A 25,805-nucleotide genomic window follows, 5' to 3' on the forward strand; every position below is an offset into this window, starting at 1 on the left:
AAACCGTTTGGAAACGTAGAAGGAAAGCATCTTATTTCTCTTTACAAAACTAGCATAATTCTGAAAAATATCACACTCAATAAAGCTGTAGTCTAATGTTACTTATTAATATACATACAAAAATTCTTTAAAAAAATTGATACAAGATAATTATACATATTTATAGGGTACATAGTGATGTTCTGTATATGTGATCAGATCAAAGTAATTAGGATATCCATCTCAAACATTTATCATTTGTGTTGGTAACACTCACTATCCTTCTAGCTATTTGAAACTGTATATTATTGTTAACTGTAGTCATCCTACTGTGGTATAGAACACTAGAACTTATTGCTCCTATCTAGATGTAATTTTGAATCCTTTAACAAATCTCTCCCTATCCTTCTCTCCCCTATGCTTCCCAGCTTCTTGTAACCTCTGTTGGACTTTGTACTTCTATGAGATTAACATTTTTAGCTTCTACATATGAGTGAGACCATGTGGTGTTTAACTTTCTGTGCCTGGCTTATTTCACATAATGTAATGTACTCCAGTTCCATCTGTTTTGCTGGGAATTACAGGATTTCATTCTTTTTTATGGCTGAATAGTATGCCATTGTGTATATACACCACATTTTCTTTATCCATTTATCTGTGGTTGGACACTTATGTTGATTTTTTTATCTTGGCTATTGTGAATAGTGCTGCAGTAAACATGGGACTGCAGATGTCTCTTTGTTATACTGATTTCTTTTTCTTTGGACTGAAATGCCAAGTAGTGGAATTGCTAGATCACGTGGTAGTTCCTATATGCAGCTTTCTGAGGAACCTCCATACTGCTCTCCATAGTGACTATACTAGTTTACATTCCCACCAACATTATAAAAAGTCTTAATAAAATGTTTGCAGCTAGAACTGAGCAGTATATTAAAAGAATAATATACCATGACTAAGATATTTTAGTAATGCAAAAAATAATTCAGTGTTAGGAATCCTTAAAAATTAAATGTTACCATATCACTAAACCAAAGGAGAAAAGCCATGTGGTCAGCTCTGTAGGTGCCAAGGAGATGTTTGTTAATTTTTTAAGAAAGAATATAAGAATACTTCCTAAGTATAGCAAAATACTATACACACATGTGCGTATAATATGTCACTCTGTATCTTAGACCAATGACTAGAATCACGATTAAAGGTAAAAAAAATTTTTAAGTTGTTGGCCTAGACTTTCTAAGGCCCCTTTAGCTCTTTACATTCTATTAGTCTGATAGAGCTATTTGCAAATATGTCATGTGTTGGCAGACATTATGTCATTTTGAACCTGATACCAACTCCGAAAGAAAGGAAACAGGTGTTATTCTCATTTTGCTTGCGCAAGGTCACATGACAGTAAGTAGCAAAACCAGAATTTTGACTCTAGATTCATTCCTTTTTTTAACTCTAAAAAGTTATTTCCTACAAGGCAGCGTGCTATAATGTTGTGATCCTCAAATTTTGGTGTGTATCTGAATTACTTTGGATGCTTGCTTTAAAATGCATTATCTTGGGTTTTACCTTCAGTCTAATTGAGTAGGATTAGGGCGATCCAAAATTTGCATTTTTACCATGTCTTCTGCTAAAGGTGATTCACTGAGGACACATTAAGTGCATGCAAACAACAGATGTTGTAAACAGATGTGGTGTTGAGCAAATATAGAGACAAATAAAAGTAGATTTGAATACTACTTCCTCCTACTGAACTATTTGTAAAATCTTAGCAGTCAAGTGATGAATGGTACATAGGCAATAAAGCATACTGGGTGAGAGTGTGGGCTTTGGATCAATGAATCTTGGGCATGTTGCCTGATGATAATGGTACTCACTTCATAAGGAGGTTTTAAGGACATATGTGTAAGTTTTCATAGAGAGGAATGAGAAAGCAGAGCAGAGACAGTCAAGTGTTAGTTATACTTCAGTGGAAGTCTCAATACAGGTACATGCGTGCGCACACCCACAAAGCACATCAAGAAAGGGGACCCAGGAGTTCCCCACCAACAAAAAGATTTTGTTTCTCCCATCAGCTTTTATTCTGCTGAAAGTCATTAGAGACTATTGAAATTTTTTATTTTTAATTATATCTCAAAGTGGATTGATACTGCAGTTGGTGAAGTAGATTCCACAGTAAATATGTGAGTAGGTGTTTCAGAAGTACTGACTTTGATTTTTTGGTAGCATTTGAGATAATACAGGTTTTACTCTACTTCTAAAAATATTTTATTTAAAAGAAAAATGAAATGAAGGTTTATATAAAAAGGCATCACAGTTTTGGACTGTTTTACTCTGATATTTAGAATTGTTTCAGATGGATTTTTTAGATCTGATATGTTTTACTGGTGTAGAATATTGGCAGGCTGTATGAAGAAAACGTGGAAGAGATTTTGGCTTTCCTTCTCTCTGTGCCTATCTCCTATTATATTTCTTCTCACTCCCTTTTTAGGTTTGTTAACTAACCATAATATGGAATACATATTGTTATTTCTCACATTTCTAGAATACATCTTTGTGATCTGCATTTATTTTATATTCAATTCTGATTACTATATTCTGTATTATAGCTGCTTAAAGATGTACTCCAATCTTATTTCCATTTTTAAATGACTATAATTTTAGCTTATGTTTATCACTTTTTTCAGTTCAATTAAGAAAAAAGTTTCTGCCCATATGTATGTACTACCTGAAGCTTTCATAAAATGAGCACTTGAGACACTGTGTAAAATGTATAGAATCCTGGCCAGGCATGGTAACTGACACCTGTAATCTCAGCATTTTGGGATGCCAAGTTGGGAGGATCACTTAAGGCCTGGAGTTCGAGACTAGCTTGGGCAACATAGTGAGACCTCATCTCTAAAAAATTATTTTTTAATTAGGCAAGTGTCGTGGTACACACCTGTATTTCTAGCTACTTGGGAGGCTGAGGCAGGAGGATCACTTGAGCCCAGGAGTTCAAAGTTACAGTGAGTTATTATTGTACCAATGTACTCCTGCGTGGGCAACAGATTGAGACCCTGTGTCTTTAAAAAAAAAAAAAAAAAGGATTATAGTATCCTTATATTTCTTTTAAAGTGGTTATAGTTGTTAGCATTTCATTTAGTTAAATAAATGAAATTGTGTCTTTTCCAGGAGAGAAGGCAGAAACACATAGTTTATCTGCTCCAGAATTGTTATTTGGTTATAGAACAAAAGGAGTGGGGAAAAGCAGAAATAGATATTTTTTAATGTAAAAACACCAAACTTCTATTTAACTCATGAATTAAAGAGGAAACCAGCCAGTTGTCACTACTGGTTCAAAGGAGAGACAATATATTTTCCACATGATGGTTAGTTAACAAACCTTTACTGTGGAGTAAAGGAATGCTGATATCCATTTACAAATGGACACAAAATTTGCTTTTTCTACTGGAGGTGGGGTGTGGTGGAGGAGTAGAGGGTAAGATGGAATCTGTTGGACCTCCGTCAGACAGAATTTATTTGTGTGCCTATAGACAGAATTATTGGCATTTATCCACAATTTATACAGAATTATAAAATAACTCCAAGACCAGAAAAGGCACAAACTCCATAGAAACATAACCTAGAAAGGTATGGTGTAAACAATGCATAATTTTCCATTTTAGTGCATAGTAATTATTTTTGCTTATTCCAAAGTCTTAACTTTTCCTTACAGCAATAACCTACTACAAGAATGTTTCCAAGGCTGTTGATCAAATGTGTAACAGAAAGGGATTTTTAAAAATAAGCCTAGACACACATACATAAGAAAGATATTGGAAGAGGTTCTGATGATCTGATCTGGGAAGGGGTATCTGATACAGCAGAAGAAAAGTTGCTAAACTCTGTCAAGAAAGGAAGTCCTAAATGGTGTCATTGATGCTTTTATAATCACTGAAGAGGTAACTTTGTTATTGAGGAGCCAGTAAATAAGGATCTATATGGATAATAAATTGAATATAAATAGTTTAATAATGAAATTACTTTCTTGATTACATCAGTCACATCCAGTTTTATTCAACAAACATTTACAAAACATCTTCAATGTATCAGGCACTACTAGATGCTAGGCATACATAGATGAACAAAACATATCTTGCCTTTAAAACCTCCTCTTGGAGCTCACGGTTTGGTAAGGGAAATAGACTAATTACAATAGAACATGGAAGTGCAATAATACTATATTATCAGTATTGTATAGGGTATAAGGTGGTTTCAAAGAGGAAGTGGTTAACTCAGTGAAGGTTTTGAGGAACAGTCAAGTTCTGTGGTTTTTTTTTAATTAAACATTTTGTTTTGAGATAATTGTAGAATCACATGCATGGCAAGAAGTAATGCAGAGAGATCCCATATACCCTTTGCATAGTTTCCCCAGTGGTAACACTTTACAAACATAGTATAATATCACAGCCAGAATATTGACATTCATACAGTCAAGATACAGAACATTTCCATCACCACAAGGATCCCCCCTGTTGCCTTTTTTGCACAGTATTCCCCCGACCCTATCCATACCTTCACTTTCTGCAGTTTTACTTATCGGTGGTCAACCACAGTCTGAAAACTTTATGCTATTTTGAGAGAGAAAGAGACCACAGTCACATAACTCTTATGGTTTTCGTTTTGTTTTTTGAGACAGGGTCTCACTCTGTCACCCAGGCAGGAGTGCAATGGTGTAATCTCAGCTCACTGCAGCCTTGACCTCTTGGGCTCATGCAGCCCTCTCACCTCAGCCTCCTGAGTAGCTAGGACTACAGGTGTGCGCCACCACACTGGTTTAATTTTGTTTATTTTTTGTAAAGGTGAGGTCTCCAACTCCTGGACTGAAGCAATCCTCTCACTTCGGCCTCCCAAAATGTTGGGATTACAGGCGTGAGCCACCACGTCCAGCCTTCCACATAACTTATTACAGTATATTATGATTGTTCTGCTTTATTATTATTGCTAGTCTCTTGCTGTGCTTAATTTATAGATTAAACTTTATCATAGCAGTACTATCCATGGTTTCAGGCACCAACTGGGGGTTTTGGAATGTATCCCCCACAGATTGCAATGGTGCAATCTCAGCTTACTGCAGCCTCCACCCGTTGGGTTCAAGCACTTCTCATGCCTCAGCCTCCCAAGTAGCTGGAATTACAGGCGCACACCAAGCCCAGTTAATTTTTGTATTTTTAGGAGAGACGGGTATTCGCCACGTTAGCCAAGCTGGTCTTGAACTCCTGACCTCAAGTTTTCCACCCGCCTCGGCCTCCCAAATTACTGGGATTATAGGCATGAGCCACTGCCACTGCGCCTGGCTTCTTTTCATTTTTTAAATTCAACCTATTTTCTTTCTTGTTCAGGTTAGGAAATTTCTATTCTATCTTTCAGTTGCCAGTTCTTTCCTCTGTCCCTTCTATTATTCTGTTAACAGTGAGTTTTATTTCAGTTATTGTATTTTTGGCTTCTAATATTTCTATTTGGTTCTTCTTTGTGTTTCCTGTATCTTTGGTGAGACTGTTTCTTTGCTAAGGCATTTTTATCATAGCTGCTGTGAGATCTTTGTCCAGTAATTCCAACATCTCTATCATCTCAGTTTTGACATCTTTGATTGTCTTTTCATTAAGTTTGAGATCTTCCTTGTTCTTTGTATGACTAGTGATTTTTTTAATTGAAAACTGGACAGTTTGGGTATTTTGTTATTAGACTATAGACACACACACACACACACACACACACACACACACACACACACCCTACCTCTTAATTATCCTTTGGATTGAGAACATTTCCTGCTTTTGCATGGTATTGCTAGCTGCTAACTGAGAGCTTTGGCAGCCTTACCTTCTGTGGCACAAATAATAGTGCATTCATGTGGTTTTTTTTTTTTTTTTTTTGTATTTTGTTGTATTTTGTTCGTTTTTCTTGAAATCAGTGGGAATTATCTGTGGTGATATTACACACAATTTTTTTAATGTCTCATAAGTGTAATACAGTTAAAACAGCTATAGGAATCATTAGGCATGCAGAAAGCAGCAACTTTTAAACATCATTGTGACACTCATTGAATTAAAAGCAGCTGTGTTTTGTTGTAAAGGAAAAAAATGATGTCTACAAAATGTTAGAACAATGCCGTTAAAGGTTGTATCTAAAAGGCAAGGAAAGTTTAATAGGGGTTTTGCTTTATCTATTTTTAGCTCTCAGGAACTTATCCTCATATAAGTCTGTTGCTTAACTTTTTCACATTCAACTTATTAACAAAAGACCATGAGATTGGCAGAGGAAGCAAAAGGAAAGCTTTATTTCCTGTAAAGGATTACAATCTGCAGGTCAGGAAACTAAGCTTCCAGCCAAAACCAAATACATAGGCTTCAGTTACAAAGGGGAGAGGTTGGAATTTATCCCCAGTGGGGTTAGCTCCGCATACATATTTAGCAGGTTATAGGAGAATTTATGAATATTTATGAGGGAAACCAAATGTGTGGTGAGTAAACATATATGTTACATATGTCCCATGTTCACTTCGGAGTAGGCAGTTAACATTAAAGTGAAGTGAAATTCGGCTCTTTGTGTCAAAAGGTGAAACACAGAGCAGAGCACAGAGGCATCTTGTGCTCAGTCTCTGTGGACCAGCCAGAACGAGTCTGTGATCAGCAGTCATTTATCAAAAAGGAATGCTTTGTAAGGCTAGTCACCTATCGTGGCAAAAGCACGATAAGGGAGGGGAGTTTGGCCACAGTGTCAGATGGTCTGTTGAGGTTGGGGAAGAAATCTTGCACACATTGTTTTTAGGGACTGGTTTCTGTTTAATTATAGGAAAGAAAGTCTTGGCGGCTGATAATGAGATAAGGGAATGTGGAGGTGTGACTGACCTCCTGCCTTTGTCAAAGCCTTAGAATCTGGTTTTAAAGTTTTCTGTTTGCCACAGCTGTCCATTTCATTTTGCCTGGAGGGCCTAGGAGCTACAAACTTAATAGGTGTTTTCAGGGACACATTATATGTGTAGGCTGCCCAGAGACTATGTTGCCTTTCCCAAGTATTTGTTGGAAGGTAAAGCATTGTGCAGAAAATACAAAAATGAGTGAAACATAGCCTCAATTCAGTTTGGCAAATATTAATTAAGCCCCTACTATGTCCAGCATGGTACATGGGCCCTAGAAAAATGCTGATGTGAGATCTTTCTGTGAAAGACATTACAATTTAATGGAAAAGACAAATATATATTCAATTTGCTCTACTCTAAAGTTAAATTCTTTTCACAATGCTAGATAGAATACAATATTACAGGAAAGAAAAAAATTGTGTATATACAGAATGAAAGACAGTATAAGCACAAGCAAAATGTTTTGTGAAAAGAATGTCATAGGAAGGAGAGATTAACTTTTTTCTAAACTTTAATGTATTTTGTCCTTTGTTAACATATTATTAAATTTTTTATCTCAAAAATGTTAACTTGAAAAGGGGTTTTTACAGCTGGGCACAGTGGCTCACACCTGTAATCCCAGCACTTTGGGAGGCCCAGGAGGGCAGATTATGAGGTCAGGAGATCGAGACCAGCCTGGCCAACATGGTGAAACCTCGTCTCTACTAAAAATACAAAAATTAGCCGGGTGTGGTGGTGTGTGCCTGTAGTCCCAGCTATTTGGGAGGCTGAGGCAGAAGAATCACTTAACCCAGGAGGTAGAGGTTGCAATGAGCCGAGATCATGCCACTGCTCTCCAGCCTGGCGACAGAGTGAGACTGTGTCTCAAAAAAAAAAAAAAAGTGGGGGGAGGGGGGACGGTTTTACTATAACTTTCATTGCTTTTCTCAGCTCCTAACTCAGCCTTTTCCTCTTTATTCTTACAGACCACCTTGTCTCCTACTAGCTTAAGAAAATTGAGGCTATCAGGAATCATTTTCCTTCAGCTACCTTCTCCCTACATGCTTATTTAATCTAAACCCCTTTTTACTGTATTTTCCCCAGTCTAAAGTAACAAGGTGTCCTTCCTCCTGTGCACTGCTCTCATTTCCCCTTGTCCCAGGATCTAGCTCTGGCAGTTGTCCCTTGTTTTTCCCAAATCTTCAAACTGTTTGTCATTACTGGCTCCTTCCTTCTAGCCTATGTACATGCTTAAGAGTCCCCTACTCTAAAAAGATTTCCCTTACCTCATTAAGCCATCTGGTCTAGTCTTTTTTCCTTTTCTCTATCCTGCATCTCAAAACAGTAATCTATCTATTCTTATTCTTACTGTCTCCATTCCTATAACCACAATAACTCTATAGTAATTAACACATATTTAGAAACCTTGAAATGTAAACAAACATAGAATTAGAATTTAAATTTTTTAAGAGATAAAGAGAAGCTCTGTAACATTTCAGAGAGTTCTCATCTCTTTGAGTCTTTGGTATTAAAAAAAAAAACTGGAAATAAACTCAACCAAGTGTAGTCAAACACAGTGTGATTCCCCTTATAGATGGAAGACTTATCTCTCATTGTAGCCTGTCCTTTTCATAGAAAGAGCTTCTAAATTATTTTGATGGTTGCAACCACTGTCTGTGTGACTCCCCAGTCTGTATCTGAAGCTTTTTAGTTTTTTCCAGTTGTTTTCTGGGCTTCCTCCACCTCGATGTTTCGTAAGTACCTTAAAGTCAACACGTCAAAAAATAAACTCATTTTTTTTCCTAAGCATGCTTCAAGCCCCATGTTCTCTAACCTAGTTTATGGCACCATGCCACTCACCCAGGTTAAAAACTAGGAGTTATTTTTGACTGTATCCTTCATCTCACCTTCAAAATTTACCAAGTCCTGCCAATTTTAGTTCCCAAGTATTTCTTAATTTTTGCCTTACCTCTCTGTTCCTTAAACTTATACTCAATTCTAGTCCTCATTGTTTCTCACTGGGCTGTTGCCACAGCCATATTAATACACTGCTTTCAATCTTTACACCTCAAACTCATCTCCCCAAAGATACCTAGAGCTGCACTGTTGCATAATTTAACTACCAGCTACATCAGTCTGTTGAGCATTTGAAGTGTGCCTAATCTAAATCGAAATGTGCCGTAAGTATAACATACAAACTGGATCTTGAAGACTTAGTTTGAAACAAAAAACTGTGAAGGATATCAATTTTATTTTGACTATATATTAAATGTAAAAGTGATAACATTTTAGGTATAGATTACATAAAATATATTATTAATTTTACCTGTTTCCACCTTTTTGAATATGGTTACTAGAAATTTTATTATTACATATACTCTTTCTCCACCTTCACATGAAAATGTGGCTGGTTCCTTGTCAGTACCCAAGTCCCAACTTAAGAAACCTTCTCTGCCTGAACGCTGTTTCTGCCTGAATACTGTCTGAAGGAATTTTGTCTTATCATCCTGTTCTGTTTTCTTCATGGTATTTTTCACTGTGTGAAATCATCATCTTTACTTATATATCTGATCATTGTCTACCCCTACGAAATAGGAGGCTTTACTGAGGCAGGAAATTTGTCTGACCATTAGTAAATAAGATTCACTGTTGTGTACCTGGTACCTAGAATAATATCTGGCATGTGCAGGTACTCTTTATTGAATGAATGGTTTCTATTCTGCTTGAAATGGTTCTCTCTGCCCCATAAACTTGTTTAACTCAAGTCCTTTCATGATTCAGCTCAAGTAGTACCTCCTTCAGGAAGATTTTCCTGGCTATTTCCCCTCCTGGCTTATTGATTCCTTTTCTATGCACAGTTCCAGAACTGTACCTATACATTGTGTTTTTGACTAAATTCTCTCTCCTCTTTTAGACTTGGCCCTTAGTAGTTCTTCAGTATATTCTCATTCCCTAGAATGTACCTAGTTAGGTTACCCAGTAGACATTCAGTATTTGTTTGCTGAATATACAAGCAAGCAGATGTTTTTTTGGAGTTAGTCTTTAGTATTCTAGTTATACAATAAATAATGCAGGTTATAGTATATACTCAGTAGTAAACAGTTCTTGAATTAGTAAAGGAATTCCTATGTACTATTTTTATTATAAAAACAATATAGTGGCCGGGTGTGGTGGCTCACACCTGTAATCCCAGCACTTTGATAGGCCGAGGCAGGCAGATCACCTGAGGTTGGGAGTTTGAGACCAGCCTGGCCAACATGGAGAAACCCTGTCTCTACTAAAAATACAAAATTAGCCGGGCGTGGTGGCGCATGCCTGCAGTCCCAGCTACTCAGGAAGCTGAGGCAGGAGAATCGCTTGAACCAGGAGGTGGAGGTTGCGGTGAGCCTAGATTGCACCATTGCACTCCAGTGTGGGCAACAAGAGTGAAACTCCATCTCAAAACAAAAACAAACAAAAAATATAGCAAAATTAAAGTCTTACTTAAATCATTTGTATAACCACCCTAATAACAATTATTTTCCTCAGCCCACTTTCTTCCTTAATCTTACTTCCCTCATCTGAGATAACCACTTCTGTTTTTTTCCCATAAACATAATTTTATATACAGTATGAAATAAGCAATAATATGTGTAATAACTTTTAAATTCTATTTTCCCACACTATGTTAGAAATTTTGTAATGTTACTTCATGGTTTTATGAAACTACTTTTTTCGTTTTAAAGTTGAGATGGACTTAGAGAAGCAATGCTGTCTAGTACAAAATGTTCCTTAGATGAGGATTCCTCATTCTGGTTCCCCCATTTAGCCTTAGGCCCTATGAGTTCCTTTTTTGTCTCAATCATTTTAAGAATGTGAATTTTCTGTAACCACAAAGCTTGGAAGAGGCAGTCTATATTCAAACCCAGGTCTCCTAACTTTAAATCTAGTTATCTTTCCATTTATTAACTATCTCCCTCAACTTCAGTTTCCTTAACTATAAAATGGGAATAATAATGTCTGTCTTGTCTGCCCTAAGGATAAAGATGATAATCACCTGAGGGATTAATATATGTGATCTCACATGTAACTAAAACACACTAAAGATCGGGGAATATCTATATTTGTTCATTTTTTGGAGGACAGTATTAATCTGACAATTCAAAGGTTTGATTTTTCTTTTTTTTGGTAATAGAAATAGATCCAGGATTTGCTAGATCCTAAACTCAGTCATAATTCAGTTTACCTTTATAGGTTTGGGCTTTGAAAACTAGGTCCAGTCTGTTGTGTTTTCTTATTTTATTTCAAACCAGTTCTCTTTTCACGTGGTGCCACATTTTTCATTTTTGAAATATCCACCCTGAAACATGATTCAAGTTGATTTCCATATGTAATTTTTCTGATTTCTCTCTTTAGTACTTTTCCTTCTCTCTTTTTAAAAAATCATTCCCACATTGTCCCTTTAGTATTTTAGTCCTTTTCCTTTTTTCTTTTTTAATCATTCACACAATGGCTATGGGTACAAAACTGTAAGAAATTTATTTTTATTTTTATTTGTTTTAAATTCATGGATACCATTGCCATAAATATGTCCAATATGAATTATGCTGCGAATGTGGCAGGCATATACTGGATAGAAGCTTAGAGTAGAATAGCAATGACTTGATTTTCTGTGATTCTGAATATCACTAAAGTGTGCTACCAGGGTTAGCCAAGAGAGAATAAGATGTAATTGCTTGCCTAAAGTGATAATATCTTTCCAGGACATCTCCTGAATACCAATGAAGGCAGATGATTTCAGGGAGAGAGGCATTCTTCACTTGAGAGATGGGAAAGATCAAATAATGGTAGTAATTAAAATGAGACCAAAATGTAGCATTTGTAGACCAAGTGTGTGCTAATCATTGTTTGAAGAAGTTCATCAGATAAAATATTACTTACTCTGAAATATTCTGTAAGAATATTTATTTAAAAGGCAGTAAGTCCTCATGTATGTTTCATAGAAATTGCATAGAAATGATATGGACTTCTAATATAAAAAATTAGAGTGTGATTCAGAAAAGAAAGATACTTTTAAATGGTTTTTAATCAAAATTGTCTTAATCAAAATTTTAAAGTTGTGAATAAATACATTCAAAAATGTTGTTTGGAAAATGAAAAGACAAGCCACACATTAACAGAAAATATTTGCAGGAAACCTATCAGAAAGAGAACTGGAATACAGAATAAATTTTAAAATTTCAGACAATGCAATAATAATAAGACAAGAAATTCCCCCTCAAAATTTTTGGCCAAATATTTTACCAAATCCATCACCAGAAAAGATACACATATGACAATTAAACACATAAAAAGATGCCTGACATCACTAGTCATCAGAGGAGTAAAGATTAATATCACAACTAGATACTACAAAATGTCTATTAGAGTAGCTAAATTTTTTTTAATGACAGTATCAAATACTGTTGAAGAAGAGGAGGAACTAAATTTCTCTTACATTGCTGGTGAAAATGCAAAATGGTACAATAACTCTTTAAAACAGTTTGAAAGATTTTCATAAAGTTAAACATCCACTTACCATACAACCCAACAGTCTCACTCCTATCCAAGGGAAATGAAAACATATTACATAAAGTCTTGTGTATGAATATTTGTAAAGTGACTTTTTTGGAATTGTCAAAAACTGAAAACAGTCTGTATGTTCATCAGCAAGTAAATGGATAAACAATTTGTATACATCCTTACAAAGTAATACTATTTAGCAAGAAAAAGAAATAAGCCACTGATACATGCAACAACATGGATAAATCTTTAATATATTATGTTAAGTGAAAACAACCAAACTCAAAATGCTATATACTAAGTGGTTCCATTTTATGTGACTGTCTCAAAAAGGCAAAACTACCAGAAGAGAACACAGACTGGTGGTTGTCCGTGGGGCTACAATGGAGTGTGTGGGAATTCTTTGGAGTTATGGAGATGGTCTGTAACTTGATTGTAGTGATGGGTACATGACTCTGCGTTTGTCAAAATGAGCAGGATGTGACTAAAAAAAAAAAAAAGAAATAACATGGGCTTGCAAGAGAGAAACACCAGATCCATTGTACCACTGTAAGAATTACACTCTAAGGATAAGATTTACATTTAAAATCTAGGAGAAATACCAGAAAATTAGCACATTGCTTTTAGTTTCATTATTAATTCCTTTTTCATGTAACATTTTTACTCCTCTTCACAATCTCCTTTTATGTAATAATTTACACTTGATTATTTCTTCAGTAATTAGTAAAGAAAGAAAGAAAATCAGCTTTCTGTAATAAGACTCCATATCACCTATACTCACTTGAGAAATACTCATTTTGTTATCTCCTACTAAATGTATCTATTACTCTATTCTCATGTCCTTTTACTAGCAGACAAAACAATAGCTTATTATTAGGAAAATTAAATGAGACAATATTTGTAAAATACCTGGCACATACCTTACATTCAGTTTTTTTAAGTGTTGTAAATATAAATAAGTTCCTTGCCTTTTTATCTCTGTGTGGATCTTGTTTTGAAAATATGAGGAGTGAATTTTACTAAGTTGCCAAATTTGCTTTATTCTTTGTGAACCTTAGTAGATGAATTGTAGTATCTTTTTTAATGTAGCCATGATGTGAATTATTGAATGACACTTCTCAGCTAGACCCTATATCTGCACATAGAATGAAATAAATACATGTCAGAACACACGAACTATACCTAGATAGTAAGTAAATAATTTTTTAGGCATTTTAAGTTGATAATTTATGACATAATGTTGTAGTATAAATATTCAGCTCAATTTGTTTTTAATGAAGAAAAATTTTTGTGGAAATAGTTTAAATGTGAAAATGTGATTATATCAGAGCTGGGCTATTCATGAGAATCACATGTGGACCATTTAAAGAAATACCAATTTCTTTCCCTACCACTGCCTTTCTAAGAGAAGCAGCTAAACAGTGATGTGCTAGTATATGTTCAAGAAACCAGCTCTTGGGTGGGAGTGGGGATAAGGAGCATTGATTCCTAGTGTTTGCTGATTTCCACGGTGTAAATACTTCCACTATAGCCAATTTCAAGCTACTAAGATGATAACACTGAATGTGGAGTGAGGAAAAGATGTACAGTAGCACAGCATTATACAGTATTTCCATCATGCAAGTACAATAAATACATCCAACCTCGAGAATAAAAGCAAAAATTAATAAAATTAAAAAGTAATGAATTTTGAGTATGTGTTACCTTTGTTTTAATATAGCTATTTATAAAGTTATGTAAGTTAATTTTTAATAATGACTGAGTTTGACAACCAGCTTCCAGAGTTTCTGAAAATTTAACAATTGGCCTCTCATAAGCTGATGAGAACTGATGTTCACACAACACTGAAGCTCCAAGGCAACTATTTTTTTTTTAACTAATTGATTGCAAGTAATTTGCCAACCAGTTGTTTTTCTAAAATACAGATCTGATCCTAAAGCCCACGAAGGCGTTCCACAGTCAGACCCAGATGAGTCTTTTTCAGCCTCATTTTAAATCATACCATTTCTCTCACATCTTCTATATGTCACCTACACTAGATGTAGGTAACTTGTAGCTTCTCAAACACACCTGTACTTCCCCCCACCTTCTCATTATCTGCCTTCTCAGTATCTTCCTTCAGCCTCGAATGACCTCACCTTATCTGCCTGACTTTTGCAATACTATTTATTTATCCTTCTAGAACTAACTCAAATGCTGCTTTCTCTTACTTCCTACTGTTGGAAACATTCCCATTTGCCTTGGTGCTCTCATAGCCCTTTGTTTATACTTCATTTTGAGCTCAAATTTATCAATTTATAATGAATGAATGTTTCACTCTCTAGATTATAAACTTCTAAGGGGTGCCTTTAAATCATACTGTACTTATTAACACATTAATATAACCTAAAAGTGGTTAATGAACACTTGCTTATTTTAACAGAAAAAAATTATGAACGATGCATGATATATCCTTCACTTTCTATATCTTTGAGAAACTGACCAAAATTTAAACTTTTTTGAATTAGATTTGTACGCCTTTTTTTCCTGGTGATGCAGAACCATATTAGTAGTTATATACCTATAGCACACCTAGAGACATTTCACAATGGACTCTAGAGCTTACCAAAGAAGAATTTCATTAGATAGTATATGAAGCAGAAATGATTAAATTGTATAACTATATTTGTGAATCATTATTCTCATTTAGTGTGCCTTATAATAAGTATTTTCAGCATAAAGCCAAAGGTTACTTTATAGTGTTCCCAGCAAATTAGGCCTTTGTATCAATAAACACCCTCTAAGAAAAGCTAAAATATCATACTTTGCTTTGTGACTTGAGAGAAATTTGCTTTCATACATATCCTTAAGGGTAAAATCCTTATCACTCTGTTGTTTTCGGGCATTTTATCTAGACTTAGGATTATCTGGTTGCCATCATGATAAGTATGGACAACATCTAAGTGTATGAAGGAAATGTTCTAAAGTAAAAACAATCCAAGAATTTCTTGAAGCAAATGCACATTCCTTGTTAGTAGTGTTTCAGGAATCTTTTTCATATTTTGCACTAGGCTGCCACCTGATGGCAAAAGTTAAAATTGCATCTTTTGTAACATTCGACGCCTTCATTGCAATTATACAGATTTTTATGTATTCAGCATAGAGCCTCCAAAACTTTTATACATTTGTGTAAGTGTTATGTATTCAATAAATGTTTGATGATTGCTTTGGACCTCAGGGAAATCATATTTATTATTTAACCTTTGTTAGACAGTGATCTTCCTACGATCTGTTTAAAGCTTTGCTTTCTTATGGAGCTATTTTAAGAATCTGTTTTAATTAGTGTTATTAATGAAAAATTTTACTTAAATGTAGTAATTTTCTCTTTTCTCTTTCCCTCTTCTTTCTTCAGAACGAGGTCACTCGGACACTATGGTGTTCTTTTACCTGTGGATTGTCTTTTATATCATCAGTTCCTGCTATACCCTCATCTGGGATCTCAAGATGGACTGGGGTCTCTTCGATAAGAATGCTGGAGAGAACACTTTCCTCCGGGAAGAGATTGTATACCCCCAAAAAGTATGTATAAAGAGTGTGTTTGTTTAAAAGAACAAACTTAGGTATACCACTAGCTAATCCTGTTGCAGTACAGACCCAACCTCTAATTATATTACTCTAATATAATTAGAAAAATAATTAACAAAAATACTAATTCATTCGGTCAGCAAAAATATATTAGATGTTTACTATATGCTAGGTACTATAGGAAATCAAAACAAAGTAAAATTCTCATTCTCAAGGAAAGCCATAAACTATGTTCAGATAAGTAAACAAATTGCAATACAATGCGATAAAGACTGGAATGGAAGAATAAATAACTTACTGTAGTTTATGATTTGTTTTTGAACATGGAATGCCCTCAGTCTGAAACACTCTCTCTCGTCTGCTTTGTAAACACCTGTTCCTCCTCTTTAAAAGTCAGTTTAAGTGTTACTTTCTCCAAGAAGCCTTTCTTTATTTTTCCTAGCATAGTCAGCTATTCATCTTAATCTTTTTTTACCCTATATAAACTACCATTATAGCAGTTATCACACTGTATTATAATAATGTGCTTAGGTGTCCATATTCTTCACTTCCAAGCATAATTACTGGTCTATAGTAGACTTAATGTTTCTGGGATGAATGAATAAATACTTGACTAAATGAAAAGTGTCATGAAAAGACAAAGGAGAAGGAGTGGCTGACTCTGCTTGATTGCATCAAGAAGACTTCTCCTTTCATTTATTTCATCTAATATTTGTTAAAATCAAGTGCCATTTCAATCAGAAAACATAGATAATTCTTTAGGAATAATTCTTTAGGAATTATTTTAGGATTTTTTCTATGTATTAATAAAAAGACAAGAGGGGCTGAATTAAAAAGTCAAAAAATCAAAAATATCTGTACTCAGATATTTTAGTAAAGGATAAATACCATGATTAGACCTTGAAAGAAATTAAACAATGAACTGGTAATCCTGAATGTGAATGTAAATTCTAATCCCAGCTCTTTCACTAACTAGCTATATAATTGTCTGCAACCAGACTATAGTGGATTCTTGTTTATGAGGTAAGTATGTTAAACTAGATTATCTCTTGATCTTTTCCCAGTCTAAAATTCTGTGATGGAGAGGGAAGTGTAGATTAGGTCACTAACATTTTCTACTCTATCAGCATGTCACTAGAACCTTAAAATTGTATTTGGAAAAGTGTATGGATGTGTAATATTCAATTGGTAAGTAGGGAAGGCCATTTTCAGGTGTGAGGAATGGTGAATTCAAAGAATGATATGTAGAGTAACTTCAGATGAACAAATAAAGGGGAAAAGGGGAGAGTTGTTGACAGTGATCTTTTTTACCTAAACTATAGCAATACCCCCAATGTGAGAAATTAGAATATATGACCAAGATATTAGACATATTTTTATAAATCTAATTTGAAAAGAAAATTAATAATCAGAGAGTAGATAGGAGCTCAGTTAAAAATGGCCCTTTTGTGCTCACCAAATATGTGTGTTTTATTTCTGTTTACATTGTTCTTGCCCTCTGAGAGCTATAAAACATTTGTTTCTTTTTTTTTTTTTTTGAGACAGAGTCTTGCTCTGTCACCCAGGCTAGAGTGCAGTGGCACGATCTCGGCTCACTGCCAGCTCCACCTCCCAGGTTCACACCATTCTCCTACCTCAGCCTCCCAAGTAGCTAGGACTACAGGCGCCCGCCACCACGTCCGGTTAATTTTTTGTAGTTTTAGTAGAGACGGGGTTTCACCGTGTTAGCCAGGATGGTCTCAGTCTCCTGACCTCATGATCCGCCTGCCTCGGCCTCCCAAAACATTTGTTTCTTATTATGATAATTGCTTAGATAAATTGTTTGTATCTTTATATAAATGTTGATCCATTCCCGCTTTTACATAGTTCTAACATAGTGATTTCTAGGTAATAAAATTAGTGAATATAATTTTTCACTTAGTTTCTTTGCTGTTACATATTTTCATGACTCTAAAAAACAAAATAAATACTTTCCTACATTATAATTTGCAAACTTATAAGAAAGATGTTCTGCTGGATCACCACATTCCTTTAATTTTAAAAAATACTGGCCAGACGTGGTGGCTCACACCTGTAATCCCAGCACTTTGGGAGGCCAGGACAGAAGAATTGCTTGAGTTCCAGACCAGCCTAGGCATCATAGTGTGAGACACTGACTCTACTAAAATAAAATGAAATAAAAATAACTGGATATGGTGGCACACGCCTGTAGCCCCAGCTACTCGGGATGCTGAGGCAGGAGGATCACTTGAGCCCTGGAGTTCAAGACTGCAGTGGGCTATGTTCATGCCACTGTACTCCAGCCTGGGCGATGGAGCAAGACCCTGTCTTAAAAAAAAAAACAAAAACAAAAAACTAAAACAAAAGGCAGATAGTTGGAATAAAATTCATCCAGCTTGAAAAGTGTGGAATCCAGTGGAGCTTCATTAAAAATTTAGAACACAGGTATATGAACCTTAAAATCAGTTCTTAGGGATTAACAGTTCTTAAAATCAGTTCTTAGGAATGCATAATATTAAGCACCACATCCCAGGTCCAGGAACAATTTTTGTCATCTTTATATTCACACTTAATTTTTCTGTGTCTCTTGACCTCAAAGATAAGTGTATTCCTCCTGAAAGACTTCCACATTTTTGGTGACACCAGTTTCCACATTGGTCATGGTGAATAGCTTAAGACTGACTCTGAAAGGCACATGAAATTGCAGTTCTTCAGTTAAGCCTAATAATAAAGTGAATGTGGATTTACCCAAAAATTGCATTATCACTATATTGCGAGGAAGGAGAGGGAACAGTGAGCCATGTGAATGTGTTAAAATCCTCATAATAATCCTCATTAAATTTATCATAATCATCAGTCAGTGAATAATATCTAAAATTGAGTAATCAAGATATAACACTATACACATATTAGTTTATTTTTTTTTTTTAATTTTTTTTTTTTTATTATACTCTAAGTTTTAGGGTACATGTGCACATTGTGCAGGTTAGTTACATATGTATACATGTGCCATGCTGGTGCGCTGCACCCACTAACGTGTCATCTAGCATTAGGTATATCTCCCAATGCTATCCCTCCCCCCTCCCCCGACCCCACCACAGTCCCCAGAGTGTGATATTCCCCTTCCTGTGTCCATGTGATCTCATTGTTCCATTCCCACCTATGAGTGAGAATATGCGGTGTTTGGTTTTTTGTTCTTGCGATAGTTTACTGAGAATGATGGTTTCCAATTTCATCCATGTCCCTACAAAGGACATGAACTCATCATTTTTTATGGCTGCATAGTATTCCATGGTGTATATGTGCCACATTTTCTTAATCCAGTCTATCATTGTTGGACATTTGGGTTGGTTCCAAGTCTTTGCTATTGTGAATAGTGCCGCAATAAACATACGTGTGCATGTGTCTTTAGAGCAGCATGATTTATAATCCTTTGGGTATATACCCAGTAATGGGATGGCTGGGTCAAATGGTATTTCTAGTTCTAGATCCCTGAGGAATCGCCACACTGACTTCCACAATGGTTGAACTAGTTTACAGTCCCACCAACAGTGTAAAAGTGTTCCTATTTCTCCACATCCTCTCCAGCACCTGTTGTTTCCTGAGTTTTTAATGATTGCCATTCTAACTGGTGTGAGATGATATCTCATAGTGGTTTTGATTTGCATTTCTCTGATGGCCAGTGATGATGAGCATTTCTTCATGTGTTTTTTGGCTGCATAAATGTCTTCTTTTGAGAAGTGTCTGTTCATGTCCTTCGCCCACTTTTTGATGGGGTTGTTTGTTTTTTTCTTGTAAATTTGTTTGAGTTCATTGTAGATTCTGGATATTAGCCCTTTGTCAGATGAGTAGGTTGCGAAAATTTTCTCCCATGTTGTAGGTTGCCTGTTCACTCTGATGGTAGTTTCTTTTGCTGTGCAGAAGCTCTTGAGTTTAATTAGATCCCATTTGTCAATTTTGGCTTTTGTTGCCATTACTTTTGGTGTTTTGGACATGAAGTCCTTGCCCACGCCTATGTCCTGAATGGTAATGCCTAGGTTTTCTTCTAGGGTTTTTATGGTTTTAGGTCTAACGTTTAAATCTTTAATCCATCTTGAATTGATTTTTGTATAAGGTGTAAGGAAGGGATCCAGTTTCAGCTTTCTACATATGGCTAGCCAGTTTTCCCAGCACCATTTATTAAATAGGGAATCCTTTCCCCATTGCTTGTTTTTCTCAGGTTTGTCAAAGATCAGATAGTTGTAGATATGTGGCATTATTTCTGAGGGCTCTGTTCTGTTCCATTGATCTATATCTCTGTTTTGGTACCAGTACCATGCTGTTTTGGTTACTGTAGCCTTGTAGTATAGTTTGAAGTCAGGTAGTGTGATGCCTCCAGCTTTGTTCTTTTGGCTTAGGATTGACTTGGCGATGCGGGCTCTTTTTTGGTTCCATATGAACTTTAAAGTAGTTTTTTCCAATTCTGTGAAGAAAGTCATTGGTAGCTTGATGGGGATGGCATTGAATCTGTAAATTACCTTGGGCAGTATGGCCATTTTCACGATATTGATTCTTCCTACCCATGAGCATGGAATGTTCTTCCATTTGTTTGTGTCCTCTTTTATTTCCTTGAGCAGTGGTTTGTAGTTCTCCTTGAAGATGTCCTTCACATCCCTTGTAAGTTGGATTCCTAGGTATTTTATTCTCTTTGAAGCAATTGTGAATGGGAGTTCACTCATGATTTGGCTCTCTGTTTGTCTGTTGTTGGTGTGTAAGAATGCTTGTGATTTTTGCACATTGATTTTGTATCCTGAGACTTTGCTGAAGTTGCTTATCAGCTTAAGGAGATTTTGGGCTGAGACGATGGGGTTTTCTAGATAAACAATCATGTCGTCTGCAAACAGGGACAATTTGACTTCCTCTTTTCCTAATTGAATACCCTTTATTTCCTTCTCCTGCCTGATTGCCCTGGCCAGAACTTCCAACACTATGTTGAATAGGAGCGGTGAGAGAGGGCATCCCTGTCTTGTGCCAGTTTTCAAAGGGAATGCTTCCAGTTTTTGCCCATTCAGTATGATATTGGCTGTGGGTTTGTCATAGATAGCTCTTATTATTTTGAAATACGTCCCATCAATACCTAATTTATTGAGAGTTTTTAGCATGAAGGGTTGTTGAATTTTGTCAAAGGCTTTTTCTGCATCTATTGAGATAATCATGTGGTTTTTGTCTTTGGCTCTGTTTATATGCTGGATTACATTTATTGATTTGCGTATATTGAACCAGCCTTGCATCCCAGGGATGAAGCCCACTTGATCATGGTGGATAAGCTTTTTGATGTGCTGCTGGATTCGGTTGGCCAGTATTTTATTGAGGATTTTTGCATCAATGTTCATCAAGGATATTGGTCTAAAATTCTCTTTTTTGGTTGTGTCTCTGCCCGGCTTTGGTATCAGAATGATGCTGGCCTCATAAAATGAGTTAGGGAGGATTCCCTCTTTTTCTATTGATTGGAATAGTTTCAGAAGGAATGGTACCAGCTCCTCCTTGTACCTCTGGTAGAATTCGGCTGTGAATCCATCTGGTCCTGGACTCTTTTTGGTTGGTAAACTATTGATTATTGCCACAATTTCAGAGCCTGTTATTGGTCTATTCAGAGATTCAACTTCTTCCTGGTTTAGTCTTGGGAGAGAGTATGTGTCGAGGAATGTATCCATTTCTTCTAGATTTTCTAGTTTATTTGCGTAGAGGTGTTTGTAGTATTCTCTGATGGTAGTTTGTATTTCTGTGGGATCGGTGGTGATATCCCCTTTATCATTTTTTATTGTGTCTATTTGATTCTTCTCTCTTTTTTTCTTTATTAGTCTTGCTAGCGGTCTATCAATTTTGTTGATCCTTTCAAAAAACCAGCTCCTGGATTCATTGATTTTTTGAAGGGTTTTTTGTGTCTCTATTTCCTTCAGTTCTGCTCTGATTTTAGTTATTTCTTGCCTTCTGCTAGCTTTTGAATGTGTTTGCTCTTGCTTTTCTAGTTCTTTTAATTGTGATGTTAGGGTGTCAATTTTGGATCTTTCCTGCTTTCTCTTGTAGGCATTTAGTGCTATAAATTTCCCTCTACACGCTGCTTTGAATGCGTCCCAGAGATTCTGGTATGTGGTGTCTTTGTTCTCGTTGGTTTCAAAGAACATCTTTATTTCTGCCTTCATTTCGTTATGTACCCAGTAGTCATTCAGGAGCAGGTTGTTCAGTTTCCATGGAGTTGAGCGGCTTTGAGTGAGATTCTTAATCCTGAGTTCTAGTTTGATTGCACTGTGGTCTGAGAGATAGTTTGTTATAATTTCTGTTCTTTTACATTTGCTGAGGAGAGCTTTACTTCCAACTATGTGGTCAATTTTGGAATAGGTGTGGTGTGGTGCTGAAAAAAATGTATACTCTGTTGATTTGGGGTGGAGAGTTCTGTAGATGTCTATTAGGTCTGCTTGGTGCAGAGCTGAGTTCAATTCCTGGGTATCCTTGTTGACTTTCTGTCTCGTTGATCTGTCTAATGTTGACAGTGGGGTGTTAAAGTCTCCCATTATTAATGTGTGGGAGTCTAAGTCTCTTTGTAGGTCACTGAGGACTTGCTTTATGAATCTGGGTGCTCCTGTATTGGGTGCATAAATATTTAGGATAGTTAGCTCTTCTTGTTGAATTGATCCCTTTACCATTATGTAATGGCCTTCTTTGTCTCTTTTGATCTTTGTTGGTTTAAAGTCTGTTTTATCAGAGACTAGGATTGCAACCCCTGCCTTTTTTTGTTTTCCATTGGCTTGGTAGATCTTCCTCCATCCTTTTATTTTGAGCCTATGTGTGTCTCTGCACGTGAGATGGGTTTCCTGAATACAGCACACTGATGGGTCTTGACTCTTTATCCAACTTGCCAGTCTGTGTCTTTTAATTGCAGAATTTAGTCCATTTACATTTAAAGTTAATATTGTTATGTGTGAATTTGATCCTGTCATTATGATGTTAGCTGGTGATTTTGCTCATTAGTTGATGCAGTTTCTTCCTAGTCTCGATGGTCTTTACATTTTGGCATGATTTTGCAGCGGCTGGTACCGGTTGTTCCTTTCCATGTTTAGCGCTTCCTTCAGGAGCTCTTTTAGGGCAGGCCTGGTGGTGACAAAATCTCTCAGCATTTGCTTGTCTATAAAGTATTTTATTTCTCCTTCACTTATGAAGCTTAGTTTGGCTGGATATGAAATTCTGGGTTGAAAATTCTTTTCTTTAAGAATGTTGAATATTGGCCCCCACTCTCTTCTGGCTTGTAGGGTTTCTGCCGAGAGATCCGCTGTTAGTCTGATGGGCTTTCCTTTGAGGGTAACCCGACCTTTCTCTCTGGCTGCCCTTAACATTTTTTCCTTCATTTCAACTTTGGTGAATCTGACAATTATGTGTCTTGGAGTTGCTCTTCTCGAGGAGTATCTTTGTGGCGTTCTCTGTATTTCCTGAATCTGAACGTTGGCCTGCCTTGCTAGATTGGGGAAGTTCTCCTGGATAATATCCTGCAGAGTGTTTTCCAACTTGGTTCCATTCTCCACATCACTTTCAGGTACACCAATCAGACGTAGATTTGGTCTTTTCACATAGTCCCATATTTCTTGGAGGCTTTGCTCATTTCTTTTTATTCTTTTTTCTCTAAACTTCCCTTCTCGCTTCATTTCATTCATTTCATCTTCCATCGCTGATACCCTTTCTTCCAGTTGATCACATCGGCTCCTGAGGCTTCTGCATTCTTCACGTAGTTCTCGAGCCTTGGTTTTCAGCTCCATCAGCTCCTTTAAGCACTTCTCTGTATTGGTTATTCTAGTTATACATTCTTCTAAATTTTTTTCAAAGTTTTCAACTTCTTTGCCTTTGGTTTGAATGTCCTCCCGTAGCTCAGAGTAATTTGATCGTCTGAAGCCTTCTTCTCTCAGCTCGTCAAAATCATTCTCCATCCAGCTTTGTTCTGTTGCTGGTGAGGAACTGCGTTCCTTTGGAGGAGGAGAGGCGCTCTGCGTTTTAGAGTTTCCAGTTTTTCTGTTCTGTTTTTTCCCCATCTTTGTGGTTTTATCTACTTTTGGTCTTTGATGATGGTGATGTACAGATGGGTTTTCGGTGTAGATGTCCTTTCTGGTTGTTAGTTTTCCTTCTAACAGACAGGACCCTCAGCTGCAGGTCTGTTGGAATACCCTGCTGTGTGAGGTGTCAGTGTGCCCCTGCTGGGGGGTGCCTCCCAGTTAGGCTGCTCGGGGGTCAGGGGTCAGGGACCCACTTGAGGAGGCAGTCTGCCCGTTCTCAGATCTCCAGCTGCGTGCTGGGAGAACCACTGCTCTCTTCAAAGCTGTCAGACAGGGACACTTAAGTCTGCAGAGGTTACTGCTGTCTTTTTGTTTGTCTGTGCCCTGCCCCCAGAGGTGGAGCCTACAGAGGCAGGCAGGCCTCCTTGAGCTGTGGTGGGCTCCACCCAGTTCGAGCTTCCCAGCTGCTTTGTTTGCCTAAGCAAGCCTGGGCAATGGCGGGCGCCCCTCCCCCAGCCTCGTTGCCGCCTTGCCGTTTGATCTCAGACTGCTGTGCTAGCAATCAGCGAGATTCCGTGGGCGTAGGACCCTCTGAGCCAGGTGTGGGATATAGTCTCGTGGTGCGCCGTTTCTTAAGCCGGTCTGAAAAGCGCAATATTCGGGTGGGAGTGACCCGATTTTCCAGGTGCGTCCGTCACCCCTTTCTTTGACTCGGAAAGGGAACTCCCTGACCCCTTGCGCTTCCCAGGTGAGGCAATGCCTCGCCCTGCTTCGGCTCGCGCACGGTGCGCACACACACTGGCCTGCGCCCACTGTCTGGCACTCCCTAGTGAGATGAACCCGGTACCTCAGATGGAAATGCAGAAATCACCCGTCTTCTGCGTCGCTCACGCTGGGAGCTGTAGACCGGAGCTGTTCCTATTCGGCCATCTTGGCTCCTCCCCCGGATTATTCTTATTACACATATTAGTTTAATACATGGAGGCTAAGTAGAAGAAGTAGCTACAAATTTTGAAAATGTTCGGTCTCTAGGGATGGAAAGAGAAGGTGGCCAGGGGACTTTTTTTTTTTTTAGAATAGCATTCTCACAATGACTAGTATTACTTTGTTTAAAAATTTTTTAAGTAAAATAAATATTATGGCTTAATACATAGTAGTTCCCCTTCCCAAAAATTTCACATTCATTAAATACATATATTTAAAGAGCTGATTTCCTTGAGATTAATAATGAGCAAATCTATGAATTATATAGTTCTGCTCTATTGGCAATTTGTGTACTTAAGACTTTTGTGTAGCTAAAACTGGACTGGACTCCTAAATCCTGGGTGCTAGTACCTGCAAGTATTACTTGAGCACCGTCTTCCCCATGTAAAAATAGAACATTTCTTAAATTCAACCACGGTTGTGAAATCCAAGCTTAATTTCATTCACATCAAAAAGCAAGGCAAAACTTTCTTCAAATACAGGGTAAGGCAAATGGAGAATAAAAGTACAAATAACACAGTGAATAAATCTGCTAATCTTTTCTGATATTAGCTATTAAGTCTACTGTACCTGTTAGAATGTAATCTCAATCAATCAAGGATCTTAACCAGCTTATATTTCTGGGCCCTAGAAGAAAGCCTGGTATACAGTATGGCAGTGAAATATATTTGTTAATGATTACTCAAATTCAGTAATACTTCATACTGGATATTATACCATTTAAGAAAAAACTAAATTGGTAGAAATCATTCTAAAATATAATGTGTACTTCCCTGCAAAATAAAGTACAACTTTCCTCTTGAGCCTGTGCTTATTCGTAGGACATGTGTGAGTCTTGTTTGTAGGAC

At 36.8% G+C, this 25,805-nt stretch overlaps 1 protein-coding gene and 1 long non-coding RNA gene across 4 annotated transcripts in view; one reads left to right on the forward strand and one right to left on the reverse strand.

The window, feature by feature from the left end:
* Nucleotides 1-25,805, forward strand: part of XPR1 (xenotropic and polytropic retrovirus receptor 1) — a 258,258-nt gene that overhangs the window by 215,904 nt on the left and 16,549 nt on the right. For all 3 annotated transcript variants that reach the window (NR_137330.2, NM_004736.4, NM_001135669.2), the window contains one exon: nt 15,783-15,949. Coding sequence is in view for 2 of the 3 variants with exons in the window: in NM_004736.4 (NP_004727.2) it covers nt 15,783-15,949 (167 nt within the window). In the remaining variant the exon portion in view is untranslated. The remainder of the gene's footprint in view (nt 1-15,782; nt 15,950-25,805) is intronic.
* Nucleotides 3,963-24,959, reverse strand: LOC124904464 (uncharacterized). Its single transcript, XR_007066760.1, has 2 exons — nt 24,821-24,959; nt 3,963-12,875 (listed from the first exon to the last, which is right to left on the reverse strand). It is a non-coding gene; the product is annotated as an uncharacterized LOC124904464 (long non-coding RNA).

The sequence above is a fragment of the Homo sapiens genome, chromosome 1 (genome assembly GCF_000001405.40).
Source record: "Homo sapiens chromosome 1, GRCh38.p14 Primary Assembly".
Classification (NCBI taxonomy): Eukaryota; Metazoa; Chordata; class Mammalia; order Primates; family Hominidae; genus Homo; species Homo sapiens.